This window comes from Homo sapiens, chromosome 5 (assembly GCF_000001405.40).
Source record: "Homo sapiens chromosome 5, GRCh38.p14 Primary Assembly".
Taxonomy (NCBI): Eukaryota; Metazoa; Chordata; class Mammalia; order Primates; family Hominidae; genus Homo; species Homo sapiens.
In genome coordinates, this window is record NC_000005.10 from 71,241,489 (window position 1) to 71,265,089 (window position 23,601).

Sequence of the window (23,601 nt, forward strand, 5' to 3'; positions counted from 1 at the left end):
TTACATTTTTCAATAGCCATAATCATTAAATTTCCATGTGTAAGAAAATGTTCAGAACAGTATCAGTGCATTTATAATAAAATTTAAAAACTTGACCCACAAATCTCTACTTGTCCTTCTAGTTTTATTTCATTTGTCTCTCGTCAATCTCTACATTCTGATCACCACAATCTTTTAATTCATCTGAAAGCTAAGCTCTCTCTTAATTTACATTCTCTATACTTGCAATTTTGTCTACCTAGAAGTGTCTTCTTCCATCTTTGGATTGTTATTGCAAATCCATTGAATAGTTCTCATCTGAATTGTTTCTTCCTTGGGATGACTTATAAACACTTCATCCTACAGCCAAATCAGAAGACCAATATCAAAATCTTTCATCACATCCTAAATTTGCTTATATGTAATTATATGGCAAGAATCTCTTTGTCTTTATAATCATTATTCACTTATCTATGTTTTTTAAAAACTCTTCTAGGTGGTGATGCTAAGCTCCGTAATGTTGGGCTTGTTACCTGTCTCAACTATCTTCCACACCTACCACAGTACCTGCTACATAGATGTATTCAATATATATTTTTAGAATTAGTAAATGATGAGCAAGCGTGTACTTTTGTTCTCTTTCATTACAGTGTTAGAAATGCTATTACAGCATTAGAAAAGATAATCAGAAAGAAAATTTAATAGATCATCAGAAAAAATCCCAAGACTTTTAGGCAAATGAGCCTACAAACACAGGTGGAATGGACTTGCAATTTACCAAGAAATAGGTTTGTCATACTTAGAAACCAACTGCATAAACATGTTTTTATCTATTAATAACTTCATTTTCCAAAACGCTCTACTTTATATGAGACGATTCTTGATGGAAATACCATTTGCTTCTAGGCTCGTTGCTTAAACATAAAGTTAAAAATCTTTGTATGACACATAAAATTGTGGTGACTGCTTAACTTTGCAACTATAGTGCTCCTGAAATGCTCATTTAACCAGTCTGTGTTCCAGACCTACAGAACTTAGATGGTGCTAAAATTGCGCAAAAATTGTGTATTTCTTCTACAACTAACTTCTGATAAAAAGGGGGCAGAGAAGGTTAACTCTCTCCCCCTTTAGCTTTATTTGCTTAGTGAATTTCTACAAAACATAATTTAAGTGCTATATTTTTCCAAGGTTTTAATAAGGAAATAAAAACCGCAATAGGTATCTTAAGCAGAAAGTGCATTTCATACATATACAATAGGAAGGGCTAAAATAACTAAAGTAGCTGTGGCATGGAGGAAGGTTTTGAGTTCTTGAATTCAAAGGCACGCAATCATTTCTGCAATCCTGGGTCAAAAAGATGCTCCTGCTATTAAAACTTTAAGCCTCTTATGCCCATGAAACTGGGGATTAGGCACAAGGATATTGAATCCTACCACTTCCACTACTTCTGAACTATTGTCCCCATGATTTCACTTGCCAGAATCAACAATAGCAAGACAGGCTTTGATCTCTTCCATTTTTCTAAGTCTGATTCATATGCAAACAATCGGTAAGTGGTCTAAGCTGCATTCATAAAGCTAGCTCAAGGGAAGCTGCATTGCTTGTTTTGTTTTGTTTTAGTTTTCTAACCTCTTCAAAGAGTGGAACGAAAGTTGAGGAAACCTGTCCAACAGTCTACCACACACCTTCCATGAAAGGTTCCCCAACACCTCCAACAAAATAATGTAAACACATGCTGGAACCTGTATTACTCTCGCACCATAACACTTCCCACACTTCCCACGATACTTTTTCTCTTCATGGGAATATCCTTCCAAAACATGCTGATATCTCCTAAGCATTATTCATCTGTCGAATTTTCCCACCTATTGTAAGGTCTTCCAATTGTTAGGTTCTTAATAAATATATTTTAAATTATTAAAATTCTGAACTAATGGGTAATCAACTGTACGACCCGAATTGCTCATTTGCATACAGCTGAAGTCCCTCCTCAAAACTTCTGTAATACATGAAACTTAGGCAAATGGTTGGGTCATTACCATATATTACTTTATATTTTTATTTATCAGTATATGTGATTACAGTTATGCTTATGTTAATTGATATGTATATGTACATTGTATTATTCTGTTACATAGCACAGCATTTTGTACTCAAAAAGTGACCAATAATAATAAGCTACATACTTTGGGAAGCATTGCAGGCTAGTCGTACAGTTTTGTTTTGTTTTTTTCCCTGCAGCCTGACAACCTTTTTAGTCATTCACTAAACCTCTCTCAGCTTCAGTTTCTTCATCTGCAACATATAGCAAATAATAAAACTTAACTCAGATGGTTCTAGTGTGAAATAATACAGAGTAAATGTGCCACCAAATACAAACCAATGGCTTGATTGACATAACTCACTGCTAATTTTCTTGAAATGATTCAAAGTATTTTCCAGACAAGCACACACTGAGGGAATTCGTCACCACCAAACGAGTCCTATGAGAAATACTCAAAGGTGTCCCAAACACAAAAATGAAAGGTCAACATTCATCATCATCATCAAAACACATGAAAGTAGCAAACTCATAGGTCTTGTAAAACAGTCACACAAAGTAGGACGAGCAATCAAATAGCAACACAACAGATTTCCACCAAACCACAAAGACAAAGAGACACACAGAAAGAAAAACAAAAAACAACAACAAAATAACCCCAAAGAACTTATAAAACAAGTAGAAAACAAACAGCAATATGGCAGAAAGAAAACCTCATGTATTAACATTAACCTTGAATGTAAATGAATTAAACGTTCCACTTAAAATATATAGATTGATAGATATTGGGCCAGGTGCAGTTGCTCACACCTGTAATCCCAGCACTTTGGGAGGCCGAGGTGGGTGGATCACGAGGTCAGGAGTTCGAGGCCAGGCTGGCCAACATAGTGAAACCCTATCTCCATTAAAAATACAAAAATTAGCCAGGCGTGGTGGCCGGCACCTGTAATCCCATCTACTTGGGAGGCTGAAGCAGGAGAATCGCTTGAACCTGCAAGACGGAGTTTGCAGTGAGCCAAGATTGCGCCACTGCACTCCACTCTGGATGACAGAGTGAAACTCCATCTAAAAGTAAAAAAAAAAAAAAGAAAGGTAGATTGATGGAACGAACTAAAAAATGATCCAAAAATATTATGCTTACAAGAAACATATAGACACATACAGACTGAAAAGTAAAGACACATACAGATTTAAAGTAAATGGGTGAAAAAAGATACTCCATGTAACGGAGACTAAAAGCAAGCAGGAATAGCTATACTTATATCAAGTAAAACAGAACTTAAATCTAAAACAGTATAACAATGACAAAGGAAGTCATTACATAATGATAAAGGGATCAATTCAGCAAGAGGATATAACAATTCTAAACACATATGCATCCAACACTAGACCACCAAGATTCATCAAATAAATATTACTAGACATAAAAAAGGAATAGACAGCAATACGATAATACTGGGGGACTTTACCATCTCACTCACAGCATTAAATGTTATCATCAAGACAGAAAACAAATAAACCTAAGACTTAAATTCAACCTTAGATGAAATAGACCTAACTGACATTTACAGAAAATACTACCCAGCAACTACAGAATATACATTCTTAATAAAACCGCAATTTCACCCAACAATCCCACTACTGGAGATCTACCCAAAGGAGAACAGATAATTGTATGAAAAAGGTATCTGCACCCATATGTTTATCACAGCACTATTCACAATAGCAATGTGTCCCTCAGTGGATGATTACATTAATAAATCTGGCACATATGCGCTATAGAATACTATTCAGCTATACAAAAGAATAAAATCATGTCTTTTGTAACAACATGGATGTAACTGGTCATTATTTTAAGTGAAACAAATCAGACACAGAAAGACAAATACTGCATGTTCTCACTTATAACTGGAAGCTAAATAATGTATACACATGGACATAGAATGTGGAATGATAGACAACAGAGACTTGGAAATTTCAGGAGGGTGGGAGGAGGGGATGATGAGAAATTATGTAATGAGTACAATGTACATTTTTCAGGTGATGTATATTCTAAAACCCTTACTTCAACACTATGTACTTTATGGAGGTAATAAGATTATATTTGTATCCCATAAATTTACATAAATAAAAAATTGCCTTCTGTACTTACTTTAGCCCAGTTATTGTTAGGTTCAACATTCAGCACTTTACTCAAATTTTCTATAGCTTTCTGGACCTTTTTTTGATATTTATATATAGTAGTGTGGCACAGAAGTGCTAATATTTACCAAAATAAAAGTTATATTTTTAATTAAAAATTAATTAAAAGGTTGTAGAATCTCAGGATGGAATGCAGACTGTTACAAATTTATCTAGCTCTATTATGAACCATACAAAATAACTTCAGTGAGGGACTTAAGGGAAAGGGTGCTAGTCAAAGTGATATTGAAAATGAGTGCAGTCTCTTAAGATGAAAGGCAAAAGAAACTTGTACGAAGGCATTTAATTTAGTTGATAAAGATGTTCTTCTACTAAGGGCAGGTTATCAATTCTGGTACAGCTATATACATATACTGGAAGTGAACAATTAACTAAATAGATGTCACAAAATAAGAGTCAGGATTTTTATTGTTGGAGTGGGGGTTTAGAGATACAGGAAGGCATTGATGCTTGCGGGACTAGGTTAGAGGTAGTGACATCAGTAAGAACCCATGTTTAGCTTAATACAGACATAGATGGTGATATGGTTTACATTTTGTCCCCTCTCAAACCTCTCGTCCAATTGTAATCGCCAGTGTTGAAGGAGGGGTCTAGTGGGAGGGGATTGGATTATGGGGGCAGATTTCCTCCTTGCTGTTCTTGTGATAATGACTTAGTTCTCACACAATCTGGTTGTTTAAAAGTGTGTAGCATCTCCCCCTTAGTTCTCTTCCTCCTTCTCCAGCCATGTAAGATGTGCCTGCTTCCTCTTTGCCTTCTGCTATGACTGTACGTTTTCTGAGGCTTCCCCATCCTTGCTTCCTGTACAGCCTGTGCAACTGTGAGGCAATTAAAGCTCTTTTCTTTATAAATTACCTAGGATCAGGTAGTTCTTTATAACAATGGGATAATGGACTAATATAGATGTTTACATATAGAAATATTTAAAGATATGTGTAAGAATATACACATTGTTTCTTTGCTCTCTCATCTTAGAGAGCTATGAAAAAATTGATACTCCCTTAGCTACAGGCACAGCTAGCACTTAAATATTGATTTCATATATAGAAAGCAGGGCGTCTTTGAAAGTGGCTGATTCTAAGAATGGGGAAGAAAATACACAAGATGAGCCTGGGACATCCTCTAGTGCCAGAAATTATGAAAATACTAACAAAAATCTATTCGTGAGATATGTCAAACAAGCACAGGGGCCAAGTGAAAGGTCTTTCAATTTCTAGAATAATTTTAGCAACACAATACATTAATTGGTAGTATATTTGGATTATACCCAAAAATGTAATTTTCCTTAGTCCATATTGATATCAATAAATGACTGAATAAACAAATGAATGAGATAAAAGAGGTAAATCTCCTCTGCAAATAATTTACATATGTATTCCAACTAAAGGAAGTCAGCTCTTAAAGACATCTTAAGCAATACTGCAACTGAATTAGCTTTCCAAAGATACTGTCACAATTCATCTATTCCAAGACCTATACATTTCATATTTTAATATCTCCTGAAAATATAATGCATTTTACAATTCAGTGGTATGTCTTAGTTTAATTAGCCACAATGCGAATTACTTGCTTAACGGGACATAAAATAGTGCATTATACAATCTATGGGCTCTTGGACTCAAGAAAATACGATAGAAAGGAGTTTATGTTAGAGTCTGCACACTGACTAAAGATCAGAGCAGAAAGCAGATTCTAGGAACAGTCACATTTGTGGCAGTCACTGGTCTCGGCATGCAACAAAATTCAAAGTAAATAGTGGTAAGGTGGGAAATGGACAAAGCTATGTAGCTAGAATCAGAAGTCTTTGAAATCAAAACATCAAGATTCAAACTATTTAGGGGCAGTGGGGCTGACGTGGTGACCGTGGGCCTGATCAGATAAAACCTTTACAAAGAAACAGTAGCTCTCAGACTCACCTCCTGAGACAGAGTTGTTCTGAGGGGAAAATGGGTAAGTTTCTACAGTAACATACAGTACTTAAACATACAGTAAGATACAGTACTTAAAGCCCTGACCTGTCCAGTTCCCAACACATCTTTCTTGATGGGCACCTAAATGTCACCTTTTGGTTTTATTTTTGTGTTTTTCTCATCTAAGCTCGGAGAGCAAAGCCTGACAGGGTGAGCCCCCAAAGTGTGTTCATGTCTTAAGAGTGTCCAGAAGCCACCTAGGGAGTGTGCAAGTTTTTCATTTTCATGCCAGGGACAATGTCTCTCTTTATTGAGCTAATGGCAAGGTATGGGCCTCAGAATATGTACAGTTTGAACATATTTGCATCTTCCCTTTAATTAACTGTGAAATCTGTGAGGCTAATGAGAAGAAAATTGATGGGTAGTCGGTGGAAGAATTTTTTTTTCATTGTCATATCTTCAACTTTCCTGGGGTATAATAAGAGATGCACAGTCAATTCAGTATACTTGAAATGTGTGATGTGGTCAAATTTGAGATAGATATATATATATATGTATATACTTTTGGAAATATCACTACATTCACAACCATCATTATGAAAAGTTTTCTTGTGCACCTCAGTAATCAGTCTCTCCCTCCATGCTGTCTCCAGGCAGCCATTTGATTTTCCATCAGGTAACATGAGTGAGAAGAAAATGTTTGTTGCAAGCTATTGAAATTTTGTGGTTGTTCACTTTTTAGAAACTCTTTGGAATTTTCTTTCTCATATCTTTATTAACATATAAAGTGTCTGTTTGGCATACTTTCAGATAATGTAAATAATATACTCAGCAATTGTTTTGTGCTGGGCTTCCATTTAATCTTTCAAGATCATATGGATTTTTATAGCTTTATATGTTGTGTTTGGCATCTTAAGCTCACTATCTACCTACTGACTCTTAAATCCCAAACTCTAAAGAGGTTCTGAAGATTCCAAACAATGGCTTGATAGCTTAAAGTAAAAAAAGCTCAGGATAACTCAAATTTTGTGACTTAGCATGCTTGAGAAAGTTTTTTTTTTTTTTGAGACAGAGTCTCACTCAGTCACCCTGGCTGGAGTGCAGTGGCGGGATCTCGGCTTACTGCAAACTCCGCCTCCCGGGTTCACGCCATTCTCCTGCCTCAGCCTCCCGAGTAGATGGGACTAAGGCGCCCGCCACCGTGCCCGGCTAATTTTTTTTTGTATTTTTTAGTAGAGACGGGGTTTCACCGTGTTACCCACGATGGTCTCGATCACCTGACCTCGTGATCTGCCCACCTTGGCCTCCCAAAGTGCTGGGATTACAGGCGTGAGCCACCTCGCCCGGCCTTGAGAAAGTGCATTTAAGCTCCTTCCTAAATGAATGATTATTTAGTCTTGCAGTGTCCATAATTTCTTTAGGTCACTTACGGAAGTCTCAAACTTGTCTGTAACACCTGATAATAACTTCCAGTACTATTCTAAAATGTAGATTTACTTTATCACATTTTCTTCTAACTTCTACTTGCCCCTGTTGTAACAATCTTCATTCTTCTTTTGTACTTATATTTTCTCCTTTTAAAACTCAATATCTAGGTCCTCTCATAATTGTGCTTAAAATTCATCCTGCAGTAGTGTCAGAGCAGGGTTTCTCAAAGTCATTGTGGGGAACTATCGTGTACATTGTAAGATGATTAGCAACATCCCTAGCCTCGACCACCAGATGCCAGTAGCACACCCTCTCTTTCACAGTTTTTTTTTTTTTTTTAATCAGAAATATCTGCGCACATTGACAAATGTCCACCGGATGGGAAGAAGAATGTGGGGTGTAAAATTCCCATTTTTGAGACCCACTTGCTTAGAATGTATTAAAGACCTATAATTGAAAATACCTTGGCAAAATCTCCCAAAATTGTCTCTCAAAATAACAGTATATACAGTGTAACATACACAACATCCTGTTATACTAATGAAAAAATCTAAGAAAAACTCTATAGGATGATATTTAGATATTACAGTCACTATATTAACTATTAGGATAATGTGCCACTAATTCCCAATCGTCACTGCTTTCATGTAGTGCTTGCTCCATATTGTCTTAATGTTAATCCTTAACATACACAGCCTAACATATTTATTGATGTGAAAGTTTTTGTTTTATTTTCAACAACACGGTCTCAACCAGGGGTGATTTTCACTACCAGGGACAATTTGTCAATGTTTAGAGACAATTTTAGTTTTTACTGCTGTAGGTAGTGGAGTGTGCTATTCACATCCGGTAAGTTTAGGGCAGGAAAACTGGTAAACCTCCTATAACATGAGGCTAGAGCCCACAACAAAATTATCAGGTCCAAAAATGTCAATAGTATTGAAGGTGAGACAATTTCTAGGGAGATATTACACCTTGATATTCTCATTTAATATGCTGGTAATGTAATCCAGCATTTTTCCAAAAATGAGAATAGCCTGGTGGCCTTAAATGTCATTGTTTTACTCTTACTTACATTGGACTAAAGAATGAGATCAAATGCAGCTGAATAATTTGGATATTTAAAGCAATAACATTTTTCACTAACGCGCATAGGCTTAATGCCTGGGTGACAAAATAATCTGTATACCTATTTACCTATAGGTTTACCTATATAACAAACCTGCACATATACCCCTGAACTGAAAATAAAAGTTAATAAATAAAGTAATTACATTTGTTTAGAAATAAAATAAATTTAGAAATGGAAAATATTGTTGAAAATATTCTAAGAATTTTAAATTTATACATTAAAATAAAAATAATCTGAATATTATTACCAACAGAAAATCTTTGTCTTGATCTCAAATTCCAAGTAGAATACCTTTAGACTATCTCTAGCAATAGCTAACAGAATAAGATTTACAAATCTTGATAGATCATTTTTCATGCCTGTGTCATTTTAAAATGAATTGATGGCTGTTAAAACTTAATTTAATTTGAGTCTCTTCCGGATCATATACATAGTTTTACAGACAGCCATGTTCAATGAAATTATAATATGTAACACAAGAAATATGCCAGATGTAAAGTAAGAATCTCTTTTAAACGCTCTGATATTCAAAAATCTTTATCAGATTTCCTAAACTAACGATTTTAAACAAAACCTTTTAGTTAAGAAAGCATTGGTCTCAATAGTAAATCTGCCAATATGAATTGCTGCATTTTATTTTTGAACTTTCTAAAGGCCATCTGCCAGAGTAATTAGATATAAAATCCTGCATGCAATCTAATATTAGATGAAAAGTTTAAACTACCAATGATACAATATTGATGCACAGAGGAATGAATTGATTTTTTATGTTATTCTCAAATTGAAAGTCAATCTTTTTATAAAATAAATTTATAAATAAATCCAAATATGATATTTTAGCTCACTTTTGACAGTAGGTTTTCAGTTTCTGATGTTAACAATGGCATAATTATGATTTGCTGAATGACTTTAAAGTGATCGGATAAGGAAACAATTAGGGTTTGCAGTAGCTGGAGAAAGAAAAAAAAGAAATATTTAGATATTGCATACTCAATATGGCACATACTACGTCACAGGCTTTAATATCAGTTGACTACTCTCTTTAGAAGGAGTACGGTTTGACCTAGACCAGTTTATTTATTCATTTTTGTAATAATTTTTCCTCATTCTCTTTGACACATTGGTTAACCTAAAATTACTGTGTCGCTTAGGACATTGACTAAAAATCGTAGTCTTTCAGTTTGTGGCTGCTCACAGGATTTTTTTTTTTTTTTTGCTTTGGCTTACTAAATAATCTTTTATTGGAGTTAAAACAACAAAGCTAGTAAAGATATATAAATCAATGCCAAAAAAAAGGAGACAGGCCTACTTATATGCCATTATCTTCTGTTATTGCCGTTGGATAGAAGACAGACATTATCATTTTTAATCAATTGTATACTTCATAAATATGATACAACAGATATTTTTACTTCCAAGATTATACATAGAGTTTTTATGATTCCTTTGTGAGTGTGAACTATATAGCTGTCCCTAAAACATAATTGAGAACAGAAAGGTTTTATTTTTAATTATATAATTTTCTTGCCCAAGTTATATGGATTCATAGGTTACAGAATGTATAACAATATACATTTTTTGCATTTTTAAATTTACTGTATAATTTATTTCTGAAACCAAATTTGATATACAACTATGTAAACCATTAAATATGATCTGGATTAAAATAATCTTAACAGACAAATCCAAAAACACTGCATTTTATTATTTCTATTTCTAATGTTACCTCCAGGTTTAGACTCCCCTAAGTAATTGACTCTACCTATTATGTTTGTGTTTTGAAACATCACTCTATATTGTAACAAAAAGAAAAATGACACAATTAGTTTCCTATATGTACACAAAAATTTTCAGTTTTAAATAAGGAAATATAGTTTTGAAATTTAAAAAAGTAAATGTTATAATATTTTCTCAAATAATTTACTACTCATATTCCCATTGCTTAGTTTCATTAATTTTTACACTCACATTTTACATATCCAAGATATATTTCCAGCTTTATTTTCAGAATGAACTGCTAGGATCTTAGATGAGTTTATTATTTTGCACGAGGTGCCACTGCTTGACACCTGATTGTGTGTATACCCCCCCCTTTTTTTTTTATATACTTTTAAGTTTTAGGGTACATGTGCACAATGTGCAGGTTAGTTACATATGTATACATGTGCCATGCTGGTGTGCTGCACCCACTAACTCGTCATCTAGCATTAGGTATATCTCCGAGTGCTATCCCTCCCCCCTCCCCCCACCCCATAACAGTCCCCAGAGTGTGATGTTCCCCTTCCTGTGTCCATGTGTTCTCATTGTTCAATTCCCACCTATGAGTGAGAACATCCGGTGTTTGGTTTTTTGTCCTTGCGATAGTTTACTGAGAATGATGATTTCCAATTTCATCCATGTCCCTATAAAGGACATGAACTCATCATTTTTTATGGCTGCATAGTATTGCATGGTGTATATGTGCCACATTTTCTTAATCCAGTCTATCACTGTTGGACATTTGGATTGGTTCCAAGTCTTTGCTGCCCAAGGTAATTTATAGATCCAATGCCATCCCCATCAAGCTACCAATGACTTTCTTCACAGAATTGGAAATAACTACTTTAAAGTTCGTATGGAACCAAAAAAGAGCCCGCATTGCCAAGTCAATCCTAAGCCAAAAGAACAAAGCTGGAGGCATCACGCTACCTGACTTCAAACTATACTACAAGGCTACAGTAACCAAAACAGCACGGTACTGGTACCAAAACAGAGATATAGATCAATGGAACAGAACAGAGCCCTCAGAAATAACGCCGCATATCTACAACTATCTCATCTTTGACAAACCTGAGAAAAATAAGCAATGGGGAAAGGATTCCCTATTTAATAAATGGTGCTGGGAAAACTGGCTAGCCATATGGAGAAAGCTGAAACTGGATCCCTTCCTTACACCTTATACAAAAATTAATTCAAGATGGATTAAAGACTTAAACGTTAGACCTAAAACCATAAAAACCCTAGAAGAAAACCTACGCATTACCATTCAGGACACAGGCGTGGGCAAGGACTTCATGTCTAAAACACCAAAAGCAATGGCAACAAAAGCCAAAATTGACAAATGGGATCTAATTAAACTAAAGAGCTTCTGCACAGCAAAAGAAACTACCATCACAGTGAACAGGCAACCTACAGAATGGGAGAAAATTTTCGCAACCTACTCATCTGACAAAGGGCTAATATCCAGAATCTACAATGAACTCAAACAAATTTACAAGAAAAAAACAAACAACCCCATCAAAAAGTGGGCGAAGGACATGAACAGACACTTCGCAAAAGAAGACATTTATGCAGCCAAAAAACACATGAAAAAATGCTCACCATCACTGGCCATCAGAGAAATGCAAATCAAAACCACGATGAGATACCATCTCACACCAGTTAGAATGGCAATCATTAAAAAGCCAGGAAACAACAGGTGCTGGAGAGGATGTGGAGAAATAGGAACACTTTTATACTGTTGGTGGGACGGTAAACTAGTTCAACCATTGTCGAAGTCAGTGTGGCGATTCCTCAGGGATCTAGAACTAGAAATACCATTTGACCCAGCCATCCCATTACTGGGTATATACCCAAAGGATTATAAATCATGCTGCTATAAAGACACATGCACACGTATGTTTATTGCGGCACTATTCACAATACCCCATTCTTTAGACTTTTAAAATCAATACCCACTCTTCCCCACGAACAAGAGAAAGTAAAAACAACTAACAGTGGATTTCTGTATCACGATGACTCATTTTCAATAGAACACTACCATAGGTCAAATGGATGAATGCATAAATAATGAATGGATTAATATCTTTTATATAATCATGTGCCACATAACAACGTTTACATCAATAAGAGACAGCATGTAAAACAATGGCTCATTAAGATTATAATAGGGTTGAAAAATTGCTATCACCATTATAGATTGATCACTCTATGAAGTTTGCACAGTAAGATAATCACCTAGCCACACACTTCTCAGAACATATCCTCATTGCTAAGTGACACAAGGCTGTATTTCATTTAATGATTGCGTAAATAGTTGTTGAGAAAAATCTGCACTCTAAGTACCAGGATAAAAGAGATTAATAATAAATTAATGATTAAATGCACCATGATCAATCTTATCATTGAGGTCTATATGCTACATTTGGATTACATCGTAAAGGCAGAGGTTAATCATCGCAACTTACACAACAGGATACAGAGTGGATCAGCAGATAATTACATAATAGAATACAGTTTGAAACCTGCAAGATGCATTAGAATTAATTAGAATCAAACCATATGTGTGACTTTGGTTTAAATGTGCAAAACCTATTAATATAGATATAGCCAGGACATTTCTATTGTGTGTGTGTGTATATATATATATATATATATATATAGTGTGTGTATATATATATATACACACACACATATACATGTATATATACATACATACATATATATATTTTATATATATATATATATATATATATATATTTTGTGTGTGTGTGTGTGTGTGTGTGATGGAGTTTCGCTCTTGCTGCCCAGGCTGGAGTGCAATGGCATGGTTTCAGCTCACTGCAACCTCCGCTTCCAAGGTTCAAGCAATTCTCCTGCCTCAGCCTCCCAAGTGGCTGGAATTACAGGGGCCAACCACCACACCAGGCATATCTTTGTATTTTTAGTAGAAACTGCTTTCACCATGTTGGCCAGGCTGGTCTCGAACTCCTGACCTCAAGTGATCTACCCCCTCGGCCTCCCAAAGTGCTGGGATTACAGGTGTGAGTCACTGTACCCAGTTTGTCTTTATAAATCTTATAGAAATATTTAACTTTTAAAATCAACCACACACAATTAAGACTTTGATAAAAGTAATTAAGAAGTAAAGCAATGGAAAAAGCAATTTTTAAAAACATATATGAATGATTGAAAGCCAGGAGTAAAATTAAGAATTGTATTAAAATATCACTATTAAAATTAGCTACATAAATATTTAATTAATGCAGCTAAATTGTTAACAAAATTTACAGAAGAAAAGTATGTTAACATTACTGAATCATCTTAAAATCTTATTAAAATTTAAAGTTCTTCTCAACTGAAATTATATCACAGAAAAAAATAATGTCACCTTAAAAAGTTTAGGATTAGAAATACATAATTATTTTTAAATATAGTCTTTATATATTAATTATATTTCATTAATGTCTTATTTCTTGAATAAACTTTTTTCATGATACTATTTAAGTGCCACATTCTACAATAATATGGAAAACAATTCTACAAAATGTGGCATACAGTAATTGATAGGTAGTATAGCACACCTTTTATCTCTTTATAGCAAAAACATAATGTGTAAATTAATATAACACTAAGTCCCATATTGTCATTTTTTGTCAAAGAGCTATCTCCTTGAAAACCATCATCCTCAGATGCATCTCTAACTTCAAAAAGACCTTAGAAACTGTAACAATTGTAAATGCGTTATAACTTAAAGAGATATTATCTTCACATTAGAGGCTAACAGGCTTATACCTACTGATAGCTGACAAGTATTATAGGAATCCTGGCAGGCAAATTGTTGCATAAAAATTATGTAATTTACTAACTGTAAAATAACCTTTAGAGTTTAGAATCAGTCAGATAAGTAGAACAGACAATTGTTATCAAAGCCATATAAATGGCTATTAAAATTATTTTTTGCTACCCTCATTTTATCTCTGAAGAGACATCTTGTTAAAAAATGAATAACAGACACATATAAATACCTAATTACAAGCAGAGTTAAGATTAAAATTCAGCCTCATTAGGGGTGGGATAGAAATCAGTACACTAAAGAATATTTTGGTGCAGGTAGTTTGTTTCAAATGATTCAACCTTCAACATTACTTCACTTAAATTTTAGCAAACTTTCTGCTATAATTTAAGCATACAGACCTATGACACTAGACATATGTCCTGTGTAAGCCTGGGCTAGGGGAGCTCTATTTAATACTTACATAAACCCCAAAGATGTCCTAAGAAATAAAATTTGGAAAAACTTTGATGTGCTACAGCACGGATTTTCTCCTACAGCAACAGAGCAGACACTTGAATGTAGTTATACTCCTGCTTTCCACCTCCCTGTCAAAACAATAAAAAAGGCCACAGGCCTGTGGTTCTGGCCTCCAGGGAACTGGTGGCTTCTTTAACCCACACTGCTGCTGCTGAATCCCATTTAGGTTTAGGGTTTATTTTGTATATGCCTTTGTACAGGCTAAATGCTGGTCTAGTTGAAAATCAACCTAAAACAACCTTAATAGCATCTCATTTTATTGTGACTTTACTTTTTGTGTTGTTTGGTGTTTTACTTTTGGAGACAGAGTCTTAATCTGTCACCAAGGCTGGAGTGCAGTGGCATGATTATGGCTCAACCTCCAGGCTCAAGTGACCCTCCCACTTCAGCCACCTGAGTAGCTGATACCACAGGAACATGCCACCACATAAGGCTAACTTAAAGAACATTTTTTTAGATGGGATCTCACTATGTTGCCCAGGCTGATCTTGAGCTCTTTGCCCCAAGCAATCCTCCCACCTTGGCCTCCCAAAGTGCAGGGATTATAGGTGTGAGCCACTATGCCAGGCCTCTCTCATGACTTTAAACTTGAACATGCTTTTGTGCTGTGGCCGAGTTTAGGATCCCAACCAGCCTGTGATTACTGTGGTCACCACACAGATTCCCTCTTGTTCCATCTTTTATATTCCATCTTCTCACTCTCATAACTGTGTGGATAGGAAAACAATTATCCATACAGGTATGATATTGGCAGAGAAAATCACAAAATGTTTTAATGAGCAAACACTTTGGGGATGGTAATAATCTTTCTACCACCTTCATTGTCTTGTTTAAGTATCTCTACATTCTTCTTTAAAAATTAGGAATATATCTTTCTTGCTCTTTCGTTGTTGTTGAACACCAGAAGGGGATATTCCTTAATTCTCTCTCCATAGCTAAGGACAGTACAGCACAATATTCCATTCAGCAGGTGAAGTCAGTATGAATGAATGCATTTCAATCAGCAAATTGCTGGTTGTGTTGCAACTCCTAGTTATGATGTTTTGTGTACTTTGAAGGGCTCCCATTAATTAAGGTATTTCTTATAAGCATTCAGAAAGTTTCTTTTCTTGGCATGCGACTTGAAAATTTGTCCTGATATTTTCCCTGTGACAATGTTTTGTGAATTGTAACTCAGCCACTTAAGTGGCTCCTCATAATAAAGCCACATGGTATCCATGTACACATATTTAACAAATCAAAGAAGTGGTTCTCAACCTAATCTCTAGAGGAGGTCCTTCTTGTTCACTTTCAATAACTATGTTGAAGAATAGATTCTAAAAAGCTATCACCAAATTTTCGAATATGTTTTGAAATTTGTGTCCACAAAATCTATAAATCAATAAATGTATAGAATAGAGCATAATAATCCAATTAACAAATTTAAGATGTCATCTAAGCAGGAATGAATGCAATAAATAGGCCTTCTTACTTCAAAATCAACTGCAGAGGTAATGCATTGCCACTAGACTTGTGTGCTGTGTTGGTAATAAATTAACAAAAACTTTGGGGATAAGAAAAATCTGCAAATAAAATGGTGTGTCATTTGTGAAATATAATCACAAAAATGTTCAGATTGTTATAATTAACAGAAAAACTATTGTTTTTATTATATCCAGTGTTTAACAGACACTATTCATGTATACATACAACATTCTTATAATAACTCTTGTGTCCATGTAAATAGCAGTCTTGCCAAAAAGAATTGATTATCATGTAGTAGTTTGTAAGTATTTTCATGCATAGGCTGCAACCCTTTAGAGTGCTATTCTAATAAATTATTAATATTAACTTGATGAACACAATTCTAAGACATTTCATTTGAGGATATGTTTATTAACTATTAGGTTGGTACAAAAGGCATTGCGTTTTTTGCCATTACTTTCAATAAAAAATAGAACCAGCATTTAGAAATCTACTTTCAGAAACTTAATAAAATGAGAATTTGTCCTCTTTTACATATAGGAAGCCTGCATAATAAGCATTCTGTTGCTAGTACATAAGCTTCCCATTTTCATCAGGAAACTATACACTTACATTTCACTTTTACTAACTTCAATGCATGACTTCTACCTTCAAGGTGATTTCATGCTTCTAGCCACCATGTCTGTACTCCAGGACAGCAGCACAAAGTGTAGAAAAATAAAAAAGACATACCTCCCTAATGAGTCAACTGCACTTAAGGAGCCATCCCAGAAGTTTCACACGGCTTATTTGAATACAGCTATATCCAGATGCAAGGAATGCTGGGAAATGTGGTATTGTGCGCAGCTAAAGTTGGGATTATGTTAGTGAAAATGAGACCACGAACATTGGAAGGTTAAAAGCAATCTCTCATGACATATACAATTACAGAAATTAAATTAAATCTTTAAGCAATGTGATAAACCTATGGAATGTTAACAGGCAAAAATAGCAACATTAAAAATTACAGTGAGGGAATAAGGTATGATTCGTTTGTAGATGGTTTGTGTGTCATTAATCTAGGCAAAAAGTCATAAACTCCTCTAACAGTGACCACATGTATAAAAGAAATAATAATACACACTATGGCTAACAACATTCCATTTTGGCCTATTTACTGTTGTTAAGTCTCTATGGTTAGCATCAGAAATGTACAGTTTTGATAGCCTATGACCTCAACATGTTCAGTTTGATAGTAGAAAGGACAACATAAAGACAAACCAATCAACAAATAAGAATAAAAACTGTTAAAAAAAGGACAATATTATCATAAGAACATAAGGATGTGATAATGTATTTGACATATCGTTTATTTATTGTTTTATAGTTGGATAATACATATAAATTTACTGCTCCTTCAATGTTAGAATCAATAGAATCATAGCAGAAGTAATTAAGCAGATAAAGATCAAAACGTCACCTTTATTACTTACTGTTTGAAAAATAGTCTAAGGCTGGTTTTACAGGGTTGCTCCTATCCATCACCTGATGTGAAGTTTCTTAGGAAGCTTCAGGACTACACCAAAGAAGCAGAACCTGCTCTTTCACTCTGTTGCATTGTGTGGAGTGCAGGGCATCATGACTGCTCTCTACAAGAAAAAGAAAGGAAATAATTAAGAAACGCACAAAAGTTTGTGAATTGAGAATCCCAAAATAGGTATGAAATTGGTTAGCTTTCTAAATTCACCAATCTCATAACTAACACCTGTCCCCATGCAGTGAATGAGTAAAGGATGGACAGACTCCATAATGATTATTCTAGGGAAAGCCTTCTGAGTAGAAAGAGGAGAGTTTTGCAAACAGTTTTGTAGAGTTTACTCTTGTTTATGCACTGATAATAAATAAGAGTTCCTAAAATTCTCTCTAGAACTCTAGGTAAATGAGATATTTCACTGCTCATGCTGTGTGACCTTCATGTCCCATCTGCCTAGACTGTAAATATGCTTTCTGAAGTTTAAAAGAATTAGTATACTATGCTTACATTAAGCAAAAAAGTACCCTTATTATGCAGGATCAAGTAACACTCTAAAGATTCATGTTTATGAAAAAACACTGATGATTCTATTTTATTATGTGTCTTCTAAAGAGAAAAATACTTGTGCTCTGCAGCATAATTTTACAATGTGCTATTCTAAATACTTTCATTTAAACAAGACCATTATGAAAATGTTTTGCACACAGAAATATATTTTGAATACTTTTTTAAAAAGATCACAAAGTATATGGTCTCTGTACGTGTTCAATTATTTTAATGCTTTCACTATAACAGGAATTCTTAAAGAGGATATGTACTTGCATAATGCTGATAATTCTTTCTCATTTCTGTTTGTGCTTTGGCTGTTGTTACAACCACTGAAAGTAGTAATTACATGAGTGTATTATCCATGATTATCTTTAGATATATGTGCATTTTCTTTAATTAAACTATAAACTCTAAATGAAAAATAAAAAAGAAGTCACCTCTTGTCTCTTTGTACAATATTAAAATTTTTTTCTTGTATCCAGAGTTTCCCAAATGCCTGTTGCAAAATTTTACTTAGGGAGTAGAAAGTGGAGAATCAATATGGTAAAAAAAACTGTGTTACAGGGAAGGAGACACAGGGTAAGCATTTTCCTTATCTTCTCTCCTGTATCTACGTGCTGCACAAGCATAAATGATAGCAGTCACATGAACGAGTACTTTTCAAGAACGTAGAATATGGTGATGGAAAAAAAAAACCGCTTTGAAACATCGAATAATATAAAAGCCAGAACTACTACAACTATTTTTTACATCCATAGAAGGTAAACTATTTTTAGATATAAAATTCCTTCTGACGGTAGTCCTGATCATTTAACCAATATTTTGATAAATCAAAGAAGGGAAAAATGGACATTCAGTCCAAAGATGGGCATGTATTCCCATGCCCAGTCAGGCAAAATTGTGGATGTTCTTTAAAATAACAATTCATTCAACAAATAATTTTTAAATGGCTACTGAATACCTGGAAAGGTTCTAGACACAGGGGCTATAGTAAGAAACAAGAAGGAACTAATTGACAAGAATGTGCTCACCGACAATGAAACATCTCCTCATGGAGCTTGAGTTCTGTTTGAAAAGACAGAGAACAAAAAAATATTATTGCACAGAGTGTTAGTTATGTGTGAATTAAAAGACTGGTCAGTACTTGAAGGAGAAGGAGTGACAACAAATCTCACTTCCAGTTCTATTTACCTGAACAGATTAATTCTATTTTGTTTCAATGCAACAGTAGTCCTACGGTTAACAAGATGCACTACACAAAGCAAACAACTTATAAAACGCATTTTTTCCTTATATTGCAAATCAATTTTAAGTGGATCTACAAATATACAATAAATAATATAAATTACGGATCGTTTGTTTCTAAGGTAATAAGTACATTTGTTAATTTCACATAAATAATTTCAGAAGGAGAGCAAATGTAAAAATGTGTTTTAGACAGTGGAGATGCCATTTTATTGTAAGACTATTTATACTCAAAGGACAAAGTAATCAGCTTTCTATGTCAATGATCGTCCTTCTCTATTTCACCCAGTTCCAGACAAACCCAAGTCTTCCAAGTCTCTTCATATATCTGATCCAATAAAATCTATAATGAGTTCAGTTAGCATACACACACACACACACACACACCACACACACACAAGCACACAAACACACACACGACTGCATTGAAATACTTGCTCTAGGGAAGGAACATAGTGTATATGCAACTTGTGTACTTTCTAAGTATGGGAAGACTAATCCTTTAACAACTGCATTTACTTTCTTTCACTTCTATCGTTGCTATCTACTCCTCAGAAATCTACTTAAACAACCAATAAATATATATGATGTTGTTATGAGAGTTTTGGAAATAATTCCTAAAAATTTGCATGGTTGCCTCTTTATATTTGGCAGCTTCTATCACCCATGGGAACAACCCCTACAGAATGATCAGAATATAAAGCATGTGAGCCCTGGGTTTCTCAGGCACTGGAAGGACCTGTCAGAATCCTCTCAGGTGGGTCAAAATGGCCAGGCTTTATAACCTCATCTCCATTCGTGTTTGCATGTCCAGTGCTCCAGGATGCCCTAACATTGAGCCAGACAATGGTTACAGCTGAGGCAAACTTTGAAGGAGCTGAGAGCTGAAGGCTGCTTTGTAATATTGCTCCTAGCAGCCAAGGGGGAAAGAAATCTTTTCTTGAAGAGCGATCTGTGTCCATAGCAAAATGTTTTTTTCTTAGCTCTTGTAAAATCGAAATTGTTTGCTTTTGAATTTTTTTAAATGATTCCTTTAAGATTCTTAATACCAAGATATCACAAGGTCAAGGAATTTTATAAAGAAGTATTTCTATTTATGTAATTTCCTAAATTTATCTATACACAAATCAGCACTAAAACATGCCTTTGATACTAACAACTTGATCGGTTTGTGAACCAAATCTGTCATGCAAATACATACGGCTGTTTTTAGATAAATTCTAAAGGTATTACCAAATCATTTAATTTTATTGTGTATCTCAATATTCTGGTTGATGTATAAGTTTAAATAGAACAAACTATTTGACATTGAAATGTTCTTTATCAAAGGAGAAGGAATACAATTTTAAAGCCACAACGAGTGACACATAGTTCTGAATGATTTATTGGCTGTCTGCCATTCTGAAATGGCTGCCAGTCAATGTTACATGTGACATCTTTCAGATAGTGTGAACTCTTTTATGCAAGCACCTTTCACTATAAAATTACAGCTGGAGATCATGAAGAGAAAAGTGTGGTGTTTATCTTAATGGGCTGAAAGACCTATTTCAACAGTTACAGTAATTCAGAAAAATAGTCTGAAGTCTAGTATTTCAATAATGTTATTTTCATAGATTTTAATCTCTAAAGACAATGCTTCACTTTTGTAGAAAATGACTTTTCTAATCATCCTGGATTTCAAAATTCTTTCCATTACTTAATATTTAAATCACTGGCAGAACTTGGCATGAGGACTAGAGAGCTGTCACCAAGCAGCCAGTCATTTTTCTTGGCTTCCCATATGCCATGCCCAGCAATAGAGCATTTCTTAGTAGCTGAGGAATAGCAGCAGTGCTAAACACAGAGATGACATTAACAGGAATGAGAGGGTCCAAGCTGTTTTCCTAGACTAATTCTCATTCAGCCTGAATTCAAAGCATTTTCCTATCATTATCATAGATATTTCGCTTGTGGTATTATCTATCTTTTGGCAATGTTGATTTTTTTCTGATTATCCAAATAAGTAATGTTAATGGAAAAAATCAGATATTAGGGGAAAAAAAACTCTAGAAATAAATGTTAACCCAAGACAATAACAATTCAATTAATTTATATGATACCTTAGGGATTGTGTCAATTATTTTTTAAATGAAATTCAAAAAATTCAACACCTGTGTTTTCTCCTACGATTACAAATTCAACTAGGGCACAATTGTAAATGGTTGTATTTGGTTGAATTTTTAGATTGTTTATAAGTTTTACTCTTGCAGACAATAATAATGGAGTTTCTTTGAAAATAAATTTAGTTGTTCTATAACCAAGGCATAAATATTCAATTCAATAAAATTAGCAAAAATATTAAATGAAAAGTATATTATATATAAAATGCATAAATAAAATATCCTGCACTGATCATTTTATGTCTATGGTTACCCTATTGATTCTGTGCACATTTGCATATGGGTATATATGCAATTTTATACAATGAAGTATTAATAGTGTACATAAATTTAGTAATTATTTTACCCCTTAAAAGTATATGCAATGAGTGTCACTTATATATAAATTCTGTTAACGTGGAAGAAGAATGTTAGTCAAAAAAACTACGAATTTAACAATTTTCTGGTTAATTCAAAGGGCTTTCCAAAAATGTCTTTTAAAATTCAATTTCATTTATTTTCTCATAGCAGAATATGAGAATGAATCTTTTTTGCTGCAAATTGGCTAGCAATAAATTTTTATTTTTATTATTTTAATTCTGTGAATTTCGGGAATGGAGTCTCATTCAGTATAAATATTATAATACTAATGAGATTGACTCCCTCCTTCTTATTAACAGTGTGCATTTTTACCCTCCGTGATTCAGTGCATGGTGTAGTGCTATAATTAAAAATGAACATTTTTTTTTAAATTTTATTATTATTATATTTCAAGTTTTAGGGTACATGTGCACAATGTGCAGGTTAGTTACATATGTATACATGTGCCATGCTGGTGTGCTGCACCCATTAACTCGTCATTTAGCATTAGATATATCTCCTAATGCTTTCCCTCCCCCCTTCCCCCACCCCACAACAGTCCCCAGAGTGTGGTGTTCCCCTTCCTGTGTCCATGTGTTCTCATTGTTCAATTCCCACCTATGAGTGAGAACATCCGGTGTTTGGTTTTTTGTCCTTGCGATAGTTTACTGAGAATGATGATTTCCAATTTCATCCATGTCCCTACAAAGGACATGAACTCATCATTTTTTATGGCTGCATAGTATTGCATGGTGTATATGTGCCACATTTTCTTAATCCAGTCTATCACTGTTGGACATTTGGATTGGTTCCAAGTCTTTGCTGCCCAAGGTAATTTATAGATCCAATGCCATCCCCATCAAGCTACCAATGACTTTCTTCACAGAATTGGAAATAACTACTTTAAAGTTCGTATGGAACCAAAAAAGAGCCCGCGTTGCCAAGTCAATCCTAAGCCAAAAGAACAAAGCTGGAGGCATCACGCTACCTGACTTCAAACTATACTACAAGGCTACAGTAACCAAAACAGCACGGTACTGGTACCAAAACAGAGATATAGATCAATGGGACAGAACAGAGCCCTCAGAAATAACGCCGCATATCTACAACTATCTCATCTTTGACAAACCTGAGAAAAATAAGCAATGGGGAAAGGATTCCCTATTTAATAAATGGTGCTGGGAAAACTGGCTAGCCATATGGAGAAAGCTGAAACTGGATCCCTTCCTTACACCTTATACAAAAATTAATTCAAGATGGATTAAAGACTTAAACGTTAGACCTAAAACCATAAAAACCCTAGAAGAAAACCTACGCATTACCATTCAGGACACAGGCGTGGGCAAGGACTTCATGTCTAAAACACCAAAAGCAATGGCAACAAAAGCCAAAATTGACAAATGGGATCTAATTAAACTAAAGAGCTTCTGCACAGCAAAAGAAACTACCATCACAGTGAACAGGCAGCCTACAGAATGGGAGAAAATTTTCACAATCTACTCATCTGACAAAGGGCTAATATCCAGAATCTACAATGAACTCAAACAAATTTACAAGAAAAAAACAA

At 34.6% G+C, this 23,601-nt stretch overlaps 1 long non-coding RNA gene and 1 pseudogene across 2 annotated transcripts in view; both read right to left on the reverse strand.

The window, feature by feature from the left end:
• The window catches only part of GUSBP17 (GUSB pseudogene 17), a 39,070-nt pseudogene extending 21,263 nt beyond the window's left edge, over positions 1-17,807 (reverse strand). The window contains exon 1 of the transcript NR_033968.1: positions 17,702-17,807. The product of NR_033968.1 is annotated as a GUSB pseudogene 17 (transcript). The remainder of the gene's footprint in view (positions 1-17,701) is intronic.
• A 56-nt stretch (positions 17,808-17,863) lies between these two features.
• The window catches only part of LOC105379016 (uncharacterized), a 30,505-nt gene continuing 24,767 nt past the window's right edge, over positions 17,864-23,601 (reverse strand). Inside the window, exon 3 of the long non-coding RNA XR_948416.3 lies at positions 17,864-19,356. This is a non-coding gene — a long non-coding RNA (uncharacterized LOC105379016). The remainder of the gene's footprint in view (positions 19,357-23,601) is intronic.